The sequence below is a fragment of the Homo sapiens genome, chromosome 6 (assembly GCF_000001405.40).
Source record: "Homo sapiens chromosome 6, GRCh38.p14 Primary Assembly".
Classification (NCBI taxonomy): domain Eukaryota; kingdom Metazoa; phylum Chordata; class Mammalia; order Primates; family Hominidae; genus Homo; species Homo sapiens.
Genome location: NC_000006.12, coordinates 132,482,848 through 132,502,144, shown reverse-complemented (window position 1 = coordinate 132,502,144; position 19,297 = coordinate 132,482,848). Strand labels below are relative to the sequence as shown.

The following is a 19,297-nucleotide window of genomic DNA, read 5'->3' as shown; positions in this document are numbered from 1 at the left end:
AAAAGGTGCTGCTGTGCACAGTGGTATAAAATAACCCTTATTCTGATTTGGGGTGATTTCTGGGTTTTTTACCTATTTCTGGAAGAACAAGGAAGTGCACAGTGCCAGGCACCACGTTGTCCACAGCAGGGACTGTAGGAATGGTACATTGAGAACTGCTGCAGTTTGTCACAGGCCACCGGCGTTGGCTCTGCTTTGCTCCTCTGGCATCAGATCTGTTCTGATGGTGGCCACAGAAGAGCCTCTTTCCTTTTCTTTTTTTTTTTTAATGGCTCCCTTGCTGCTGGTTAGAAATAGCACTGGTCTGCCCCAAGTGTATCTGGCTACCTGTGCAAAAATTAAGGAAGTTTATAATTCTAATTACATATGTGGAAAATTAGGACCTTTATGCAAGAAAGGAGGCCAAGAGGCCTTTCTCCAAAGAAGAGGATAAGCATCCTGTGTTGGGAAAGCTAAACAGTGTTAGGAATTGAGGATGAGGAATGACTGTCCTGTACTGAGATTGTAGAAGTAGCAAGCAGTAGGTAGTATGAAAGATACATGGATTGAAGATTGTGTGTGAACATGAACTGGAAGGAGAAAAGAGTTGACTTAAATCAGGCCATGTTCCCTAAGAAAGAGATCAGTTGATCCAGAGGATGAGAAGTGACAGATTGGGCCAGAGTTGAATATTTATGGCAGGTTGGTAGCTAAGTGTGCGAGTACATCCGGGGCAGTATTGGATCATGTGAAGGTCTGGCTATGATACTCCACAGTCTATGTGAAGAGCTGTTAAGAAGACTGGGACTGTTGGCAGGGCATGGTGGCTCACACCTGTAATCCCAGCACTTTGGGAGGCCGAGGCAGGCAGATCACGGGAGGTCAGGAGTTCGAGACCAGCCTGACCAACATGGAGAAACCCTGTCTCTACTAAAAATACAAAATTAGCTGGGCCTGTTGTGGCATATGCCTGTAATCCCAGCTACTTGGGAGGCAGAGGCAGGGGAATCGCTTGAACCTGGGAGGCGGAGGTTGCAGTGATCACGCCATTGAACTCCAGCCTGGGCAACAAGAGCAAAACTCCATTTCAAAAAAAAAAAAAAGACAGGGACTGTTCATGCAGGTGAAGGTACAGTCACCATCTGCAGATGTTTGAATCACTGTCATATGTGAAACAGAAGCCATATGTCCTGCATGAACATAGGGGCCTCCACAAATGTACGGAAGCTACAGGTAGTCAGATTTCACCTTGAGAAGGAGGAAGGGCTTTTGAATAATCCAAGTTGTTAAGGTAGAATTGCCTCCCTCAGGAGGAATGAGATTCCTTATCAGTGACCAGAAAAAGGATGGTCAGATATTTCTCAGACTTATTAATAAGAATTTTAAACATAGGAATAATGGTTCAGACTAAGAGGGTTTTAATTTTGATATTCTATTGTGATTCATTCAACAAATAATTTTTGGGATACATAGTACTTGCTAGATACTGTTCCAAACTGTAGGAATGTAGCAGTAAACAATCTATAAGGTCCTGCTCTCATTGTAGTTTACAGTGTAGTAAGGAGAAATAATGAGCAACTTAACTTTCTGTAAAGAAAATATAGTGAAAGTGAGGTGAGAGCAAGTGACTGGGGAAGCTACCTTTACTTTAGATGGTCTTTGAATGAGGATGAGGAGGGACTGGTAGTGAGAAGATTCAGAGAAAGGGCATTTCAGACAGAAGGAATAACTAGCATTAAAAATTCAAAAGCAGACCTGGGCTTGAAATACTCAGAAAATAGGGAAAAGGGAAAAAGCTAGTGTGGCTGAAGCACAGCATCTGGGGCAAGAGTGCCAGGAGATGAAACCAGAGGGGTCTGGCGGGTCAGCTGGGGCCTTGCAGGTGGTTCAGGAAGTTTAGATTTCATTTTAAGAGGCAGTGGAAATCACTGGAGGCATTTAAGCAGAGGAGAGACATAATCAGATCTACACTGTGAAAAAATTACTTTGGCTGCTGCTTAGAAAATAGACATTGAGGGAATAGCAGGGAGGTATGCTGGTCATCACAGAGGTCTGGGGAGAGCTCGGATGCTGGCTTGCACCAGGGTGATGGCAGTGGGGATGGAGAGAAGCAATGAGTGTGTTTTGGAGGTAGAGCCAGCGGGACTTGCTGATGCATGTGGGTAGGGATGGTAGAGGAAGGAAGGAGTTAAAGATGACTCCATAGTTTTTGCATTGAGCAACCGACTAGGTGGTGGCAAGTGTGTACTGAAACGGGAGGGACTACAGTTCAGGACAAGTAGGGGAGAGTTTTGTTTTGACTAAGTATATTTTGAGATATCATTTAGATATCTAAGTGGAGATATCAAACATCTACTTTAGATACAGGAATTTGGAAGTCAGAGTGTCCTCAGAGTATAAATGGTATTTAAAACCATAGGTGTAAAGTAATCACGTAAGAGTGAGGAAAGAGAAGAGGCCTGGAACATTAAAAAATGTGGAAATCAGGAAGGTAGCATGAAGAATCTAAGGAGTGACCTGTGAGGTAAGATAAAAATCAAGATGTGGTAGATTTCTAGAAATTAAAGAATGTTTCAAGAATGAGTGAGGCATTATCTCTCCCTAATGCTGCTGAGAGACTAAGATAAAAGCAGATAATTGGATTTGGTAAACTGGTGACTTTGAAAAGAACATTCTCATAGCCATATTGCAAGTGTAGATGGAGGAAGGGAAGGAGAAGCACCCACTCTTTCCATTTTAAAGAGACTTTCCAGATTTTCTCCTCATCTCTGCTTATGTCATTGATCAGGTGGCTACACCTAGCTGCCAGAGAGGCTGAAAACATCTTAGCAGGATTTCAGTGTGCTCACTAAAATTGGGGATTATTCTATTTGAGAAAGAAGGATGAGAGAATCAATATTTAGTAGGCAACTAGCAGACTCTGCTATGAAAGTAGAAAGAGGATCAAAGAAAGGGTTCCATTTTACACTGCAACAGAGAAATTCTGGTAAGCGTATAATTGCAAAGGAAATGTTTTGAAAGTGAGGGCATGGGAATGGACCACTAGCAAGTTCACATTTCATCCACCGTATAGAGGTGAGGCTACGTGTGGTACAGATGGAAACATGGTGGGCAAACATGGGAGATTTCCTGTTTGAGTGGGTCTGTTCTTAAATGAAATGGGAAGCAAGGTCATCAGATAGAGAATGGGCGGGAAAGAAGGGGGTTTAGCAAATGTGTTGAGTATACATTTAAGATTTGGGGCCATGAATTTAGTGAAACCAGTCATCACTGTACTTTTTCTAATTCTGAGATTCAATGTCTAAATGAAGGGGAGTTTAGATTAGATAAAGTATTGTTAAAAATCTAACTACTGTCAAGTATGTGTACTGATAAGGGCTATGCAGAAATCACGTGGAAGTGAAAGGCAGAAGTGTGAAATTTCAGTTCACTTTTTTCCCCATTTGGTAATGCTAATAATACTGGGTGCGATTGAATAAAATGATACTTTGCACCACATTTAGGTTCTCTTCACACTACATTTGCAACTTTTGAAATTGTGTCAGTACAATTATCTGATTTTACAAAAGAAACCTAAAGAGAAGATGCTGTAAGTAAGGTAACCTGTAATTAGAATATGAGCATCTGTTAAACTAAAGCTAAAGTCTTCTTGAGTGTTGCAGTGGGAAAGTTTATTTTCACATTAGTTTTGATGAAATAAACACTTATAAAATATTAAGTTTTATGGTTTAGTTTATACCCCCAAAAAAGGAAAATGGCAGTCAAAAATATTTTTAAACCATTTTTTTGGTTTAAGACCATCTGCAGTCTTTTGAATTTGTTTCACCAGTAAAGCATTTAAACCATATTATAATGATATAATTTATATTAAGCATAAAATATTTAAATATTGTAAATGCTTACATGTAAAATAAATTAGAAATTTAATTATATTAAAATAATAAAACTGGTAAATAGTTATAACAAACTATGACTTTATTACAGGCTCTGTAGACAGTTTAAAATGATTAAGAAAATATTTGTATCCTATGAGAGAAAGCGTTGACTCCGTAACAGTCAACAAGGCCCTTGTGCCACCCATGCTCCATCTTTTACCCATGGCATAGACAGTATTCTCTGTTGCTGGCCTAGCATGCCATCCAGTCTTTTTCAACCCAAGGCTCCAGGCAACCATTCCCAGTAGACTGGAGTTGGCAGGCAAACAAAATCGTTTGTTATCACAGGTCTAGAAGATCACCATGCCTCTTAGAAAGGCTTAGATTTAGTTTTCAAACTTTGGATTGAGATGTTCAAAAGTGACATTTTTATTAGCAACATCTATGCCTGTTTACCTTCTATCATTTCTCCATATTTTCTGTCAGACATACTCCTAGCTGTGATGTATAGTATAAGGATAAGCAAGCCTTTGTGGGTTTATAAGTATAAGGTACCTATCATATAGGTAAACCAGAGTAGGCATTTTCACAAGGGCCATTCATCCTTGCCCAAACACAAACAACATAGAAAAATGTCTTGAGAACACACAGAGAAACTCATGTTTTTAAAAGCAGCAGAATCAATATATCAAAATACATCACATAAGTAAACACAGGCTTGCTTTTTCAGACTTTTTAAAAATGGAAGTATAATGTATACATTGAGTACTAGACAAATTATTTGTGTATAGCTGAATGAATTTTCTATTGTATTACCACAAATGTCAAGAAATAGAACATTCCTTAGTCCCCTAAAACCTTCTTGTGCTTACACCCCTTCATGCCCTTCGGAGATAACCAGTGTCCTGACTTTGTTAACATCATTGATTAATTTTCCTTTTTTTAATCTAATAGAATCAATAATCAAATAGAATTATTTTATGTTGGGCTTCTTTCATTATGTTTGTGGGATTCATCCATGCAGCTGCAGGTCATTTGTTTTCGTTACTGTATAGTATTCCATATTTAAACATACTACAATTTATTTATTCTTTCTACTGGTTGTAGTGTTTCCAGTTTTTGATTTTGTTTTTATTTTTTGCTAGGATGAACAATGCTTCCCAGAACATTCTTATATGTTCTTTTGGTGCATGTATGTGAAGGAATTGGGTTACTGGCTCATAGGATATGTTTATGTTCAGCTTTTGTGGATAACAGCTAAACAGTGTCCTAAAGTGGTTGTACCAGATATGAGTACAGCCAGTGTATCAGAGTTTGTGCTGCTCAAAGTCCTTGTCAACATTTGATGTTTACAGCTTTTTATTCATTTTAGTCATAGGTTTCTCATGATTTACTTTGCAATTCTCTGATTAGAATCAGAGTTTTTAGAGTGTAGCTGAGCTAAAGAAATCAATGAGATAATCGGAAACATTTCTAATCAAGCAAGCTGTATGTGATTGCATGTACATTTCCTGAAATCAGATCCAAATAGCGGTGTGACCTTGAGTAAGCTCTCGAACCTTCCAAGACATGGTTTTCTCATGTGTATTTTCTGTGGGCTAGGTTATGGTCTCTTCAAACTTTAACAGGCAATAATTCTAACCAAAGTTTTTTAAGAGTCCCGAAACTCTTCTAACAGGTACAAGATTATTCTATGTTTTGTTAAGAGGCTGATTGCCATATCTGAATCCATAATGCATGCTCATAAAATCCCATAATTGAAGAAGCCATCACACTCAAGACTAGCTAGAGTTCCACCAAGGCTTATGTATTATTTTTAAGTGTTAGGAGATGGGAAAGCTGGGGCACAGAGGTTTGTATCCTGTCAGAATTAACAAAATTTTGTATTGAAGGAAATTGGTGAATAGAAATGAGAATAGCTATGAAACACAGTCCTTGAGATAAAAATTTCCCTAACTCCTAAATAACATAGTAAGCCTTTCCACTAGTGCTAATGTGAATTCTCGCATTTGAGTATTTTTTTTTAAAATAATAACCTGAAAGAGGAAGATGTAGTGTGGCTAAAGTTGGAAAGTGAATAAAACAGATATATTGGAAACATAAAATCTACTCATCAGAATTTATGAGTATAGAAGTTTCTGCTAAAATATGCATCATGTATCACATGGGCTTGTGGATGTGTGTTTTTTCCAGAAAATTTGGAAAGACAGAACCTTCTAGGGGCACATAAAGTATGAACGTAAGCTTTTAAGTGCTAAGAGAAGGTGACTGAAAAATATTTTTGTTGAATCTTCACTTGTTTCATTTTTAATCATCTCTCCTACAGATTAAAGGTATTAGTTCAGCATAGACTTTAGTTTAAAATCGAAACAGATGTTTTTGGTTTCTCTGTGTTATAATTAGCTTCCTATGCTGCAAGTATACTTTTCAAAATTGTTTATTAAGAATTGGTGCATGGCTCCTGTCCCCATAAGGTTCTTTGAGATGAAATTAAAAGTCTATGTAAAAGTGTGAGCCCTTTTGTTACTTTTAGAATGATCACAGTTCTTTTAATTAGTTAGGGTCTGGTGAAGGGGACACTTGTTTTTGCATTTTAACACATGACTGCACAAAAGGGAAGCTAATATTATCACTTTTTTTTTTGGTGCCAGGGCAAATATTTTTTTAAAAAAGGAGCTCCAGTCCTGAGAAATTAATGAATTTACTGGAACCATATATTTACTCAGGAATTAAGAATGTTTCCTTTTTTTCTGGGGTAATCTGTTGGTGGGATGGGAAGGCAGTTTATTAAAGGAAAAAGAGTTGAAAAATTGTTGCTTCCCTCCTCCTAAAATGCTGTTTGAAATATTTATGTCTAAGATTGCACATCTGAAAATGTGGTTGGATGGTTTTTTCCCCCACTTAGAGGAGAAAAACTTCAGTAGTTTTTATTTCATTGTGATTTTCTTCATGCCTAAGGTGCTAACATAAAACAGAGATAGATGTGAAAGTTGCTATCTTGTCCAAGGAAATTTTAACAGAGTGTGACAACTTTTCTTCTCTTCAGTGACTTTTCCTTTATGACTGAACATGGTGTTTATGGCCGGATATGAGTGAATTCTTTGTTTTATGAACTAAATCTTTAAGATGTGGCTCCAAGATGCTTCAAGGAGCTTTATCCCTCACTCTCCTATCTGTGAACCATACATATGCTTCTGCCCTGAACATGAACTTTCTTACCCTTGGTTCCAACCCCAAACCATAGTAATGGGTGTCTTCACTCCCTCTGTTTAATCTAAGTGTAAATCTTAGTGGTTCTACCGGTCAGATCTGTCTGTGTCTCTCCATCTCTGCCATTACCACATATGCTCAAGCTGCTGCTATTTCTTTGGATGACTGCAGTCTCCAAATTGTTCTCCTCACTTCCATTCCTGCCTCTTTCCGTCTTCTCCAAATAGTTGCCAAGGTAAACCTGTAAAACTGTAAATCAGATCATGTCATCCTATAGCTTGAAAGGCAACAGTTAAATTCTGTGGCTTTTATAATCAGATATAAATCCCCACCATGCCCCACAATATCCTCAAGATCTGATCCCTGCCCCCACTTGTCAACTACCACTCTCTCCCATGGTGCTGCTCTGCTGCTCCACATTCCACCAGGTAGATCTTCTTTCTGCTTAGTGAACAGTCAGCTCATCCTCACCTCAGGGCCTTTGCACTTGCTCCTCTTCTGCTTCAGACATCTTCCCAGATCTACATGTAACTGGTTTCTTTCTGGCATTCAGGTCTTAGGGCCCAAAGCTCACTTGTTTAGCAATGTCTTCCCTGCCTTATCATTTTGCTTCCTCCAGTCATTCTTTTTCTCATTAACCTGTTTTGTTTTTATATTGCCTTTTATCAGTAAATTAAAGTACTATTATTGTTTACTTATTTTTTTACTTTCCTACTAAAACCTTGGCCCCCAGAGATAAAGGGCTCATGTCTTGGCTACAGAAGTATTTACACATAATTTTATTCGTTCATTTTTTAATGAAATTGAGATCACACTATACAGGTTTTTTGGTGCTTACTTTTTTTTTCTCTTGTTATTGGTTGCTTACTTTTTTATGTGGTTATGCCATTAAATGATTTTAATTAATCCTTCATTAACAGACATTTTATCCTAAGTGTATATGTTTAAAAACCTGAGAACCTAACCATTTGTGGTGCCTCCACAAATGAATCCTCTGAGTTCTCTGTAGATAAAGTGTCATGGTGACCATGTGATAAAAATCCTCATGTGTATGTTTTGATACTACATTTATTTAAGAATTTCTATAATAATGACTAGTTATTTTCCAACATGATCTATGCTCAGTAATTGTATGACAGGGTAGTTTCTCTTTGATTACACATATTCATGGTTAGTTGTGTAGTGGCTACTCAACTGCCCTGTGAGGCTGTCCCTCTGTACATTTTGGTTGATTTGGTGCTGAAGTAGGAATCGAACAGTATAAGTTAAGCTTGGCATTTAGTTTTGGTTTCCTGTAGTGATTTTGGCAATTATGGTCCTCATCTCTTTGATCCCTTTTTGTTGTTTTCACCAATTACTGAACAATGTTTTTATTAAACAGTGTATTAGTCCATTCTCACATTGCTAATAAAGACATACCTGAGACTGGGTAGCTTATAAAGAAAAAGAGGTGTAATGGATCACATTTCCACATGGCTGGGGAGGCCTCACAATCATGGCGGAAGACGAAGGAAAAGCATGGGGACTTCTTACATGGCCATGGGCAAGAGAGGACTTGTGCAGGGGAGCTCCCCTTTATAAATCCATCAGATCTCATGAGACTTATTCACTATCATGAGAACAGCACAGGAATGACCACCCTCATGATCCAATTATCTCCCACTGGGTCCCTCTCACAACATGTGGGAGTTGTGGGAGCTACAATTCAAGATGTGGTTTGGGTGGGGACACAGCCAAACCATATCAAACAGTGATTGCCCTTTATACTTAATCCAAACTTTTTTTCTTAAAGCAATTGTTAATTGGTGTGCCTATTAGTTGCTTAGGAAAAAACTAGAAGTCATACAAGATATTATTCTGCAAGTCTTGGTACATTTATTTTCCTACTCTTCTTTCTCATTATAGTATCATTATCATTATCATTATTTGAAGTTACGTATTAATGATATTGAGTATGGCCACCTACTTCTTTAAGATAGTTTGCCTTTTATTCCATATAAAGTCAAAGAAAATGCCCACAGACATCACCAAGATACTGTCCTAGTCTGTGGACTGTTCTCCTGCTTGGGAGCATGGAAACCTTCAACAGATATCCAGCCAAGGCCTGCTTATTTGTGAATACCCAGTACACTGCCTTGCTGCTGGGCATGGGAGGAGAGTGGGGCAGGGTGGCCCAAGTACACCCAGTGATTTTAGTTGTATGGTATTTCCTATATACCCTGCTTTGTTCAATAATCTCTTTCTGGAAGATATGTAAGCTAGTATTTTAAAACTATTTTTAATTAACTGTTTACTTTGTGCCTTGTATTAGGTATCTTTTATTCCTTTTTTTGTGCATTGTTTTTGATCTTCCAGTCACCCTGGTCAGGTGAGAAAATTTAGGTTTGGAGTGGTTGTCACTTGCTCAAGTTTGTACAACTGTTAAGTGGCAAAGCTGGTATTTGAGCCCAGGAGAGTCTGGTTCATATAACATGGTGTATTTGGATCATGCTGTATATTGTACCAGGGTGTTACTTGTGCATTTATGTTCATTCCCTGTGTGAGTATTTATTAAACACCTGTGATGTGCTAGGGACTGTCTGGATGCTGAAGCTATGTCAGCGAATAAAATAAAAATACCTGCCTTTATGGAGTGAACCTTTAATGAGAGAAGACAGACATAAAATAAATAAGTAAATTATGTCATATGTTAGAAGGAGATGTTAAGTGTTACAAAAAGAAACAATGACAAAAACATACCGGCATGTGCTGGAGAGGGGTTTGCATTTGATAAATAGGGTGCACGGGGAGTTGGGATGGACCATACTGAGGAGTTCCTCGTTGAGCACATATTTGAAGGAAGGAAGGGAATGTGTCCCACAGTATCTAGGGAAAGAGTATTTTAGATGGGGAAATAGCATGTCCATGGGCCCTCAGAGTTAAGCACCCCTGGCCATTAGAGGAATGGAGAGGAGGGAAGAGAGAGAGTTGGTACCAGGTCAGGTAGGGCCTTGCAGGCTGGTGTAAGGACTTTTACTCTGGGTGGAGCAAGGGTTATGAGGAGAGGAGTGCAGTGCTGGTGCAGAGGCAGTGCAATGTTGGACTCAACCAGAATTTTAGATTTTGTCAAGTGGTTAAGAAGGGAGAGAGGGGCTTAAGATATATGCAAGAGTCTGGATATGGACTGACTCCAGAGTTTAAGTTGGTTAGGGAGTGGGTGACGACATTGGAGGTGAGGAAATGTGGCAGAGTGGCAGGATCAATGGATGGCAGGTTGGAGTTGGGGCCAGGGGAGTGAGCTGGACATGCAGGAGGTGATTTCTAAGTAGATTGCCTGAAACCAAGATTATGGAAGAGTGACAGTTCCTGGTAATGAGAAGGTGTTTGATGGGATCTTGGAGTGTGTGGCTGAGGGAGGGTGGAGGACAGAATCATTTCAGTAGGAGACGTGTGCAAAGAATGGAGGCCAGCAGGATGGTGGAAGGATCGTCAGCCTGTGTATTGAAATCACAAAAAAATTAAGATAGGAGTCATGTTGGACAGAATGGCAGCGAGCCAGAAACTACAACCAATGAAGAGTGAGGGGCGGCCCAAGGAACCTAAAATGACTAAACCTGCAGTGGGTGGTGATCATGAGGCCTGATGTGTTCTGCGTCTGTCTGTTATTGTGCTTCTTGTCATGGGGTCTTTATTTTTGAATTTGTCCTTCTTTTCTGAGTTCCTTCAGTCTCTAGTTAGTCAGTGCATGCATGTTATCTGGCCATCTCTTAAGAGTTCTTTTGTGATCTTCCTTTAAACTGTGATTACTTCATTGAGTTTTTTTTTTTTCTTTTAATCCTGTGGGTATTTTGGGGTATAATTTTTACCATATTCACTTTGTGGCAACATGTTCTCCTGCTGTGAGTTCTTTTAGGGAGTTTTACTGTTCTTTTCCACATTTTAAAATAGTCTTTTGTGTGGTTACTCTCCCCATTTTTTTTTGTTTTTCAATGGAATGAGTTTGATTTTCCTGGCAGGAGATTCCTGTGGAGGGAGAGGGAAGTGCCCATTTCTCTGCTCAAGGGCTCTATTCTCTCTGCTGTGCTGTGCTGTGCTGTGCTGTGCTGTGCTGTGCTGTGCTGTGCTGTGCTGTGCTGCACTGAGGGACTGTTTCTTTCCTCCTCTGCCTCTCAGCCCCTAGCCTGGTGTAGGAGGGCTTCCCGCTCCATCCCTGATGTCATCCCAATCACTTCATCGGCCCCAAGATGCACAGACACCTCTTTCCAAGGTGTTCCCCACCTGGTTTTTGAGTAGGGTCGGCAGCCCATGGCCTCCTGAATCTGTTCCGTGTCTCCTTTTCCCACCTTCTCCAGCAGAGTCCCCGGTGCTTCTCAGCCCTGCTTCTGCCCATTCTCACTCTGGGTGGGATCAGCTCTTCTGATGATTTGCTGGTGACAGTGTGGAGCTCTGCAACCCCGGTTATTCTCCGCCCCACCCATACGGCTTCCTGCTCAGGACCTGCTATTTTCTGTTGCTTTTGGCCGTATGTACACGTTTTTGAGAATTTGGTCATATTTACACATTTTGTGTTAATTTCTCTGAAAATGTAATTTTTATGGGTTTTCTACCTGCTCCCCCATTCTATAATATGCCTTGAGGAGGGAAGAAGGAGGAATATTCAGAAACATGCTTCTACCGTGTTTCTATAAGAAGCAGAAATCGATTTTCAGTGTTTTAGAAACAGCTGCCAGCATGTGTTGGCAGTTAGAACTGATCAGAAATGACTGAAGTAAAAGGTTTGGGAATCACTGCCTGTAAACTAGAGGGGAACTCGTGACAACAATTCAGCTGCTTTTGGAGCAGTAGGAGAATTATTGGGCCCTCGAGTGGATGACAGGAAGGAAGCTCATCATGATGGGCAAAAGATGTGTCAGCGGGGTTGGGGAATTGCAAGGCGCAAGGCCTCACCACTGCCCAGTCCTTTCCTGTTTGCTTCTTACACAAATCACATTGTTATGGAACCGTTGTTGCTTCTGATTCCAGACTACCTCAGAGCAGGTAAACTGAGCAGATCCATGTGAAAAATGTTAGGATGAATAAATTTGCTAAAAGACCCAGCTTGTAATGTTCCAGCCATCTAGAAGTCCAAATTATTGTTTACATACAATTTTAGATGACTTGTTTTTGTACTTTATTTTTAAGAACTGTGCCCTCAGATTTAACCCTTTATTAATCTACAATAGCTTTAAAATGCCCCCAAATTTCCACTGATTTGACCTTTATGCCTTTCTACCTTTAAAGTATCCGGGAAGAGAACCAATGACAAAGTGAAAATTAAGTGTGTTGTAAATTTGAGATTGCTTTGTGGAAGCGGGCTATGCCTTCAGATATTCTGTGCTGGGAAGGGGAGCACAGGAAGCCAGTGTAGTTGGGCCTTGCGGGTGGATGCTCTCCATTGAGCTTCCAGCCTCGAGACTCATCCTTTAGAAGATCCTTCTCCATCTCCCTTCCCACACTTTCTCGTCTCTGCAGTTTGGATCAGTGCTTTTGCTCACAAAGAAGACAAGTGTTCTCTTCAGGTCATAAGACAGAGCATGAGATATACTAGTGCTAGAGGGGAAAAGCCAGAATTATTTTAGTAGCCATCCTTCACATTCTCCAGGAAGTTTTTCTACTTGTGATACACTTTTTAGAATTTTAATACACTTTTCTTGGTTTTTCTTGAAAAATAGATAGACATGGGTATTTCTAATGATACATTTTTCTCTACACATTGTACCCTATAACGAACCTGGATCCTAACTCTAATTGTACAAGACTTATTAGTAATAACATCTTGTACTTTTATTCTTACAAAGATCTATGCCATTTCTAAAATGTTTACATATATATCATCCTTTTTTTTTTTTTTTTTTTTTTTTTAAGACAGAGTCCCACTCTGTTGCCCAGGCTGGAGTGCAGTGGCACAATCTTGGCTCACTGCAACCTCTTCCTCTGGGTTCAAGCTATTCTTGTGCTTCAGCCTCTCGAGTAGCTTGGACTACAGGGGTGTGCCACCATACTTGGCTAATTTTTGTATCTTTAGAAGAGATGGGTTTTCGCCATGTTGGCCAGGTTGGTCTCGAACTCCTGGCCTCAAGTGATCTGCTTACCTTGGCCTCCCAAAGTGCTGGGATTACAGGCACGAGCCACTGCGCCTGGCCTATATCACTTTGTTTAACACTCCAAACCACCCTCTAACAAAGCTAGAGGGTTTGATAGACGAGGAAAGATTGGAGTCTAAAACAGAGTTTGTTTCTTTCAATATTTAGATTTTTTTTCTAGTCCTGTTTTAAATATGTCACTTATATGCAACTGCTAGATACATGTCACTGGCACATAGTAGCTGACTCCTCCCTCCCAATTACGGGCTATAACTATCTTTTGTCAATTGATATTTATCATCTCTACAATTCTTATAATTATATCATAGATTATTAAGTATTAGCACTCAAGTATGGTTCACATTAGATAGTCAAGAAATGTAAATAAGAAGCTGAACACTTAAAAAAAACTGAGAACTCCCTCATAAGACAGTTTTAAAATACATGGAGCAAACACTGACAAAACTGCAAGGAAAATAGACAAAGCCACAATTATGGCTTTCGGTACCCTTCTCTGAATAATTGATAAAACAAGTAGATACAAAATCAGGATACAGAAGATTCAAAGTACTAATCACCTTGATGGTGACAGCCACTTATAGAACAGTCTATTCAACAACAGCAGAACACACGTTTTTCTCAAGTGCACCCAGAACATTTATTAAGATAGACTCTATTCCTGTCATTAATCAAGAGTTTCAACAAACTTTAAAAGATTCAAGTCATACAAGATAATATTCCTTGACTACAGTGAAATTAAATTAGAACTCAGTAACAGAAAGATCCCTGGAAAATCCCCTAATGTTTGAAAACCAAACACATTTCAAATAAGCTATGGATCAAAGAGAAAGCCAAAAAGAGGAATTGGAAAATATTCTGAACTGAACGTAAATGAAAGCATCACATATCAGAATTTGTTGGATGGTATTAACTCAGTACTTAAGGGAGCACTAAACACCTGTATTAGAAAAGAAGACAGGTCTCAAATCATGACGTCAGTTTTCACCCTAAGAAATTTAGAAAAAACAACCGAAATTGCAAAGTCAGCAGAACAAAGGAAATACAAATCATAGTGGAAATCGAAGGGAGAAAAAAAATCAATGAAACCAAAAGCTATTTCTTTGAGATCAATAGAACTGATAAACATCTAACCAGACTGAACATGAAAAAAATAGAAGAAACAAATTACTAATATCAGGAATGAGAGAGATGATATATTATAAATTCTACATATTTTATATGTAAAAATCTATACATATTTACATATATTCTGTACATTACAGAATCTATCATATATTTAAAGGTTTTTTCCTTTGAAATGGTTTTTATTTTATTTATTTCACTTTAAGCTCTGGGATACATGTGCAGAACGTGCAGGGTTGTTACATAGGTATACATGTGCCATGGTGGTTTGCTGCACCTACTAACCCATCATCTAGGTTTTAAGTCCCACATGCATTAGGTATTTGTCCTAATGCTCTCCCTCCCCTGCCCCTCATCCCCTGACAGGCCCTGGTGTGTGATGTTCCCCTCCCTGTGTCCATGTGTTCTCATTGTTCAACTCCCACTTATGAGTGAGAACATGCAGTATTTGCTTTTCTGTTCCTGTGTTAGTTTGCTGAAAGTGATGGTTTCCAGCTTCATCCATATCCCTGCAAAGGACATGAACTCATTTTTTTTATGGCTGCAATTAAGAGAGTATTATAAACAACTTTATGACAATAAAGTTGACATCTTAGATGAAATGGATAAATTCCTTGATAGACACAAATTATCAAAGTTCACTCAAAAAGAAGTCAGTAACCTGCCTAGCTCTATATCAAGAAATTGAAATTACAACTTAAAACCTTCTCACAAAGAACCAGACTCAAATATCTTCACTAATGTAATCTATCAAATATTTAACTAATTGTACACAAACTGTTCCAAAAAATTGAAGAATTCGTTTTAGCAGGTCAGCATAATCCTTATATTGAAACCAGATAAAGACAGTAAAAGAAGAGAACACTACTAGGCTGGGTGCAGTGGTTCATGCCTGTAATCCCAGCACTTTGGGAGGCTGAGGCTGGCGAATCACCTGATGTCGGGAGTTCAAGACAAGCCTGGCCAATATGGTGAAACTCTGTCTCTACTAAAAGTACAAAAAATTAGCTGGGCATGGTGGCGGGCACCTGTAATCCCAGCTACTTGGGAGACTGAGGCAGGAGAATCGCTTGAACTGGCAGCAGGAGGTTCCAGTAAGCTGAGGTCACGCCACTGCACTCCAGGCTGGGCATGACAGAGCAAGACTCTGTCTCAAAAAAAAAAAAAAAAAACCCAGAAAAAAACACTACACATCCATTTCATCTCATGACATAAATGCAGAAAATTTAAACAAAATTTAACTAATCAAATCACCAATATTTTAAAAGGATGTAACAAGTGGAGTATATCCCAGGAATTCAGGGTTGGTTTAATACTGAAAGAGCAATAAATATTGTTCATTATGTTAACAAACTTAAAAAGAAAACCTATATAATCATCTCAATAGATGCAGAAAAAGCATTTGACAAATTCTACTTCCATTCCTAACAAAAATTCTCAGTAAACTAGGAGTAGAAGTGAGCTCTTTAACCTGACAAAAGATCATCTATGAAAACTTACAGAGTGTCACACTTAATGGTGAAAGACAGAATGCTTTCCTTTATAAGATCAGGAACAAGACAGGGATGTCTTGCCCTCACCACTTCTATTCAGAATTGTACTAGAGGATCCATCTAGTGCAGATGGATAATATAAACAAATAAAAGGACTTCACATTAGGAAAAAAAGAATTAAAACCATTTGTATTCACAGACATAAATGTCTATGTAGAAAATCTGATGGAATCTACAATTTAAAAAAGCCTGCTAGAATAAAAAAGTCAATTTAGTAAGTATCTGATCAATGTACAAAAATAAATTGTATTTCTCTATACTGGCAATGAGCAATCAAAATAAAAATTTGAAATTTAAAAAGCTGGCATTTACAATAACATCAAACATTATGAAATACTTAGAAGGCAATATAAGTGAAACACTTGAACACTGAACAGTACAAAATATTGCTGAAATTAAAGAAAGCTTATATAATTGGGAAGATATACCTTGATCATGGATCAGAAGACAATATTGTTATTTGAACAGACACTTCAACAAAGAAGATATACAGATGACAAATAGGACATAAAAAGATGTTCAACATCATTAGTTATTAGGAAAATACAAATTAAAAGCACGGATACCACTATTAACCTATTTGGCAAAATTTAAAAGACGGAGCATACCAAGTGCTGGAGAGGATGTAGAGGAACAGAAGTTTTCATACACTGCAGGTGGAAGTGTAAAGTGGCATCACTTTGTAAAATAGTTTGACTGATTTAAGAAAGCTAAATGTAACACCTGTCATACTATCCAGCCGTTCTACTTCTATTTATCCACACACAAAAATTAAATATATGCCCATACAAAGACTTGTAGGGCATATACTTATAGGAGCTTTATTTGTAATGGACAAAAACGGGAAACAACACAAATGTCCATCAATAGTGTTGTATCATACAGTGGAATACTCAGCAATAAAAGGAATGCACTATTGATATACACAGCATGGATGAATCATAAAATAATTAGGCTAACTTAAGCCAGACACCATCCTTTTTCAAAAACGAATAAATACTCTGTGATTACATTTATATAAAACTTTAGAAAATGCAAAATACAGAAAGCAACAGAAAGCATATTAGTGATTGCTTGGTGATGGAGGGGGGAAGGAACAGATATGCAGGAGGGAGGAAATTGCAAACTACAACAAGGAAACTTTTGAGGGTGAAGAATCTAATAACTGTCTTAAGTGTGATGATGGTTTTACAGATGTACACATATGTCCAAACTTGTAAAACTATAGTTTATGCGCTTTGTCAGTTGTACCTCAATAAAGTGGCATTTAAATAAAAAACGTTAATAAGAATATTCCTATTATTCATTTCTGACCTTCAAGAGAACAACAGACTCTGTTGAGCGCTTACTATATCCAGTACACGGTGCCTACCTATATTGTTCTCGGTTAAAGTTTATGACAGCTGAGAAATAGGTGCTTTCTCACTGTTGAAGCAATTATAGCTTGGAGACATTAGGTAAATTGCCCAGGGTCAGCAGCCAGGAAGAAGTGAGATATCAGGCTGTCTGGCTCCAACTCTACTTGCTGGTCAGCCTTCAATTGTACTTCTTCCTCAGTGTGATGTGGCTGAGTCTGTGTTGGAATCTCAAAATCACCTGTCCAGGGATTTTACTAACCATTATTTTTTTTTCTATGTTTGGCTGTTACAAGTTGGTTATTTTACGTTGAAAACAGATGTTTTCTGCTAAAAGAGAAGATAGCTATTCTTAGTTATTTGGAGACAGTTCTTTAAAGGTACTCTGTGTGTGTGTTAGGTTGATCTGCCATGCCGCCACAGCCTGGCCAGTCTCATTTGTCAGACAGCATCCATTTGCTGGTGAAGTCTGACGGGTGGTAACATTATGTATTAATAGCCCCTGATACCAAATTCAGCCTACAATTTTATGACAAACTATTCTTTACTGTAAAGCTTTTTTCTTAAATAATCCACTAGATGGCAGCAGACCCACGTGGAACAGAATGGATCTTCATTGCTGTAGAAGAGCCAGAAACGGGACACTGTTTTGTTTTTGATGACCCAGTAGTGCATCTTTTTCGGATGTGTAGGAAATGGTATTATTTTTCTGTTATGAAAAATGTAACATACTCTTTGAAGTCACGTCTGTGGAAGTGAGTAGTGGTACAGATAGTTCAAAATTGTAGATAATGCAAAAATAATTTTTTCTTTGTATTCTCGTAGAGACACATGTTGATTTAATCCTACCTGTATGCATTAGATGAACTTTTCTTCAAGAAACTGTTTATTCTTAATTCTTTTTATGGTTGGAAAGACTGCGGCTTGTTTCATGAGTTTTTTTCTTTAATTGGACCTATGCCAATCAAAATAGAAGATGACTGTCCTATAAATTCATAGCACCTAAGGCTAGATAATGAAGTGAAATCCTACAGACTGGACTTGGGAGAAAGTAGGAGGATTATTTATTTTTCCAGATCACCATACTGCTTGTCATCTGACTAGAAACCTCTTATCTCCCTTTCTCTAAGCTTATTTTTCTCAAGCATTTTTGAACATGGTCAATTGGGGTGTCGCAGAAGATCCTGTGAACCACATATCCTACTATCCATACCTTCTAGAAGGGGAAGAACTTAGGAGATGGCCAAAAACCAGAGAGTAATAACATGATAGAGTGCTAACAATATTTTTGCAGCAAATATGCTATAAAAATGCTCATCCAAAACAATGAAAAAGTGTTTTGTTTCTAAATTAGTATAAGAGCAGCAGATGAAAATGAGGTACTCAAGCCAGCACCTATGATGGGTGAATAGCATATTCTGAGAATCAAAGAACTTCAACTCAGTGTACATGCATGTTCAATGGAAATTTTGTGACATTGTTAAATATTTTACTAGATAGACTTAATGCAGTGACTGCAGTAGGCCCTCCTTTTCCATGGATTCTGCATGGATTCAACTAACCATGGAACAAAAATATTCAGAAAAATTTTAAAAATAAAACACAGTACACTATAACAATTTACATAGCATTTATTATATATTAGGTATTGTAAGTTGTGTAGAGGTGATTTCCAGGAGGATGTGCATAGGTTATATGCAAATACTATGCCATTTTATATTAGAAACTTGAGCATCTGCAGATTTTGTTGTCTTTGGGAGGTGGATGGAGGGAGGCATGGAACCAATCCTCTAGGGATAGTGAAGGATGACAGTACATTCAAATAACATGCCAAGTTGAGTTTTTAAATACAAGGTTTTAGTAATTTTTAATAACTGAGGACAAAGACTGGCCAACTTTCCCTGTAAAGGGCAGATTCTTTTAGACTTTCTTTCATTTTCTTTTTTTTTTTCTTTTTTGTTAACCCTTTAAAACTGTAGCAACAGTTCTTAGCTTGGAAGTCTGTACAAAACCAGGTTTCAGGCTCTACGGGCCATAATTTGTTGACCCTGGTGTAGGAGGCTAATGCTAGTAGTATATAA

The 19,297-nt window shown here is 38.3% G+C and overlaps 1 protein-coding gene across 5 annotated transcripts in view, besides 2 other annotated features; it reads left to right on the top strand.

Annotated features, from left to right (window-relative positions):
* Window positions 1-19,297, top strand: part of STX7 (syntaxin 7) — a 67,606-nt gene that overhangs the window by 11,328 nt on the left and 36,981 nt on the right. The window lies entirely within an intron of this gene.
* Window positions 2,846-3,055: an enhancer, noted in NCBI's record as "active region_25071". NCBI's record gives its function as "activates an Ori minimal core promoter by ATAC-STARR-seq in GM12878 lymphoblastoid cells {active_cell/tissue: GM12878}" and the evidence as "EXISTENCE:reporter gene assay evidence [ECO:0000049][PMID:35858748]".
* Window positions 11,169-11,408: an enhancer, noted in NCBI's record as "active region_25070". NCBI's record gives its function as "activates an Ori minimal core promoter by ATAC-STARR-seq in GM12878 lymphoblastoid cells {active_cell/tissue: GM12878}" and the evidence as "EXISTENCE:reporter gene assay evidence [ECO:0000049][PMID:35858748]".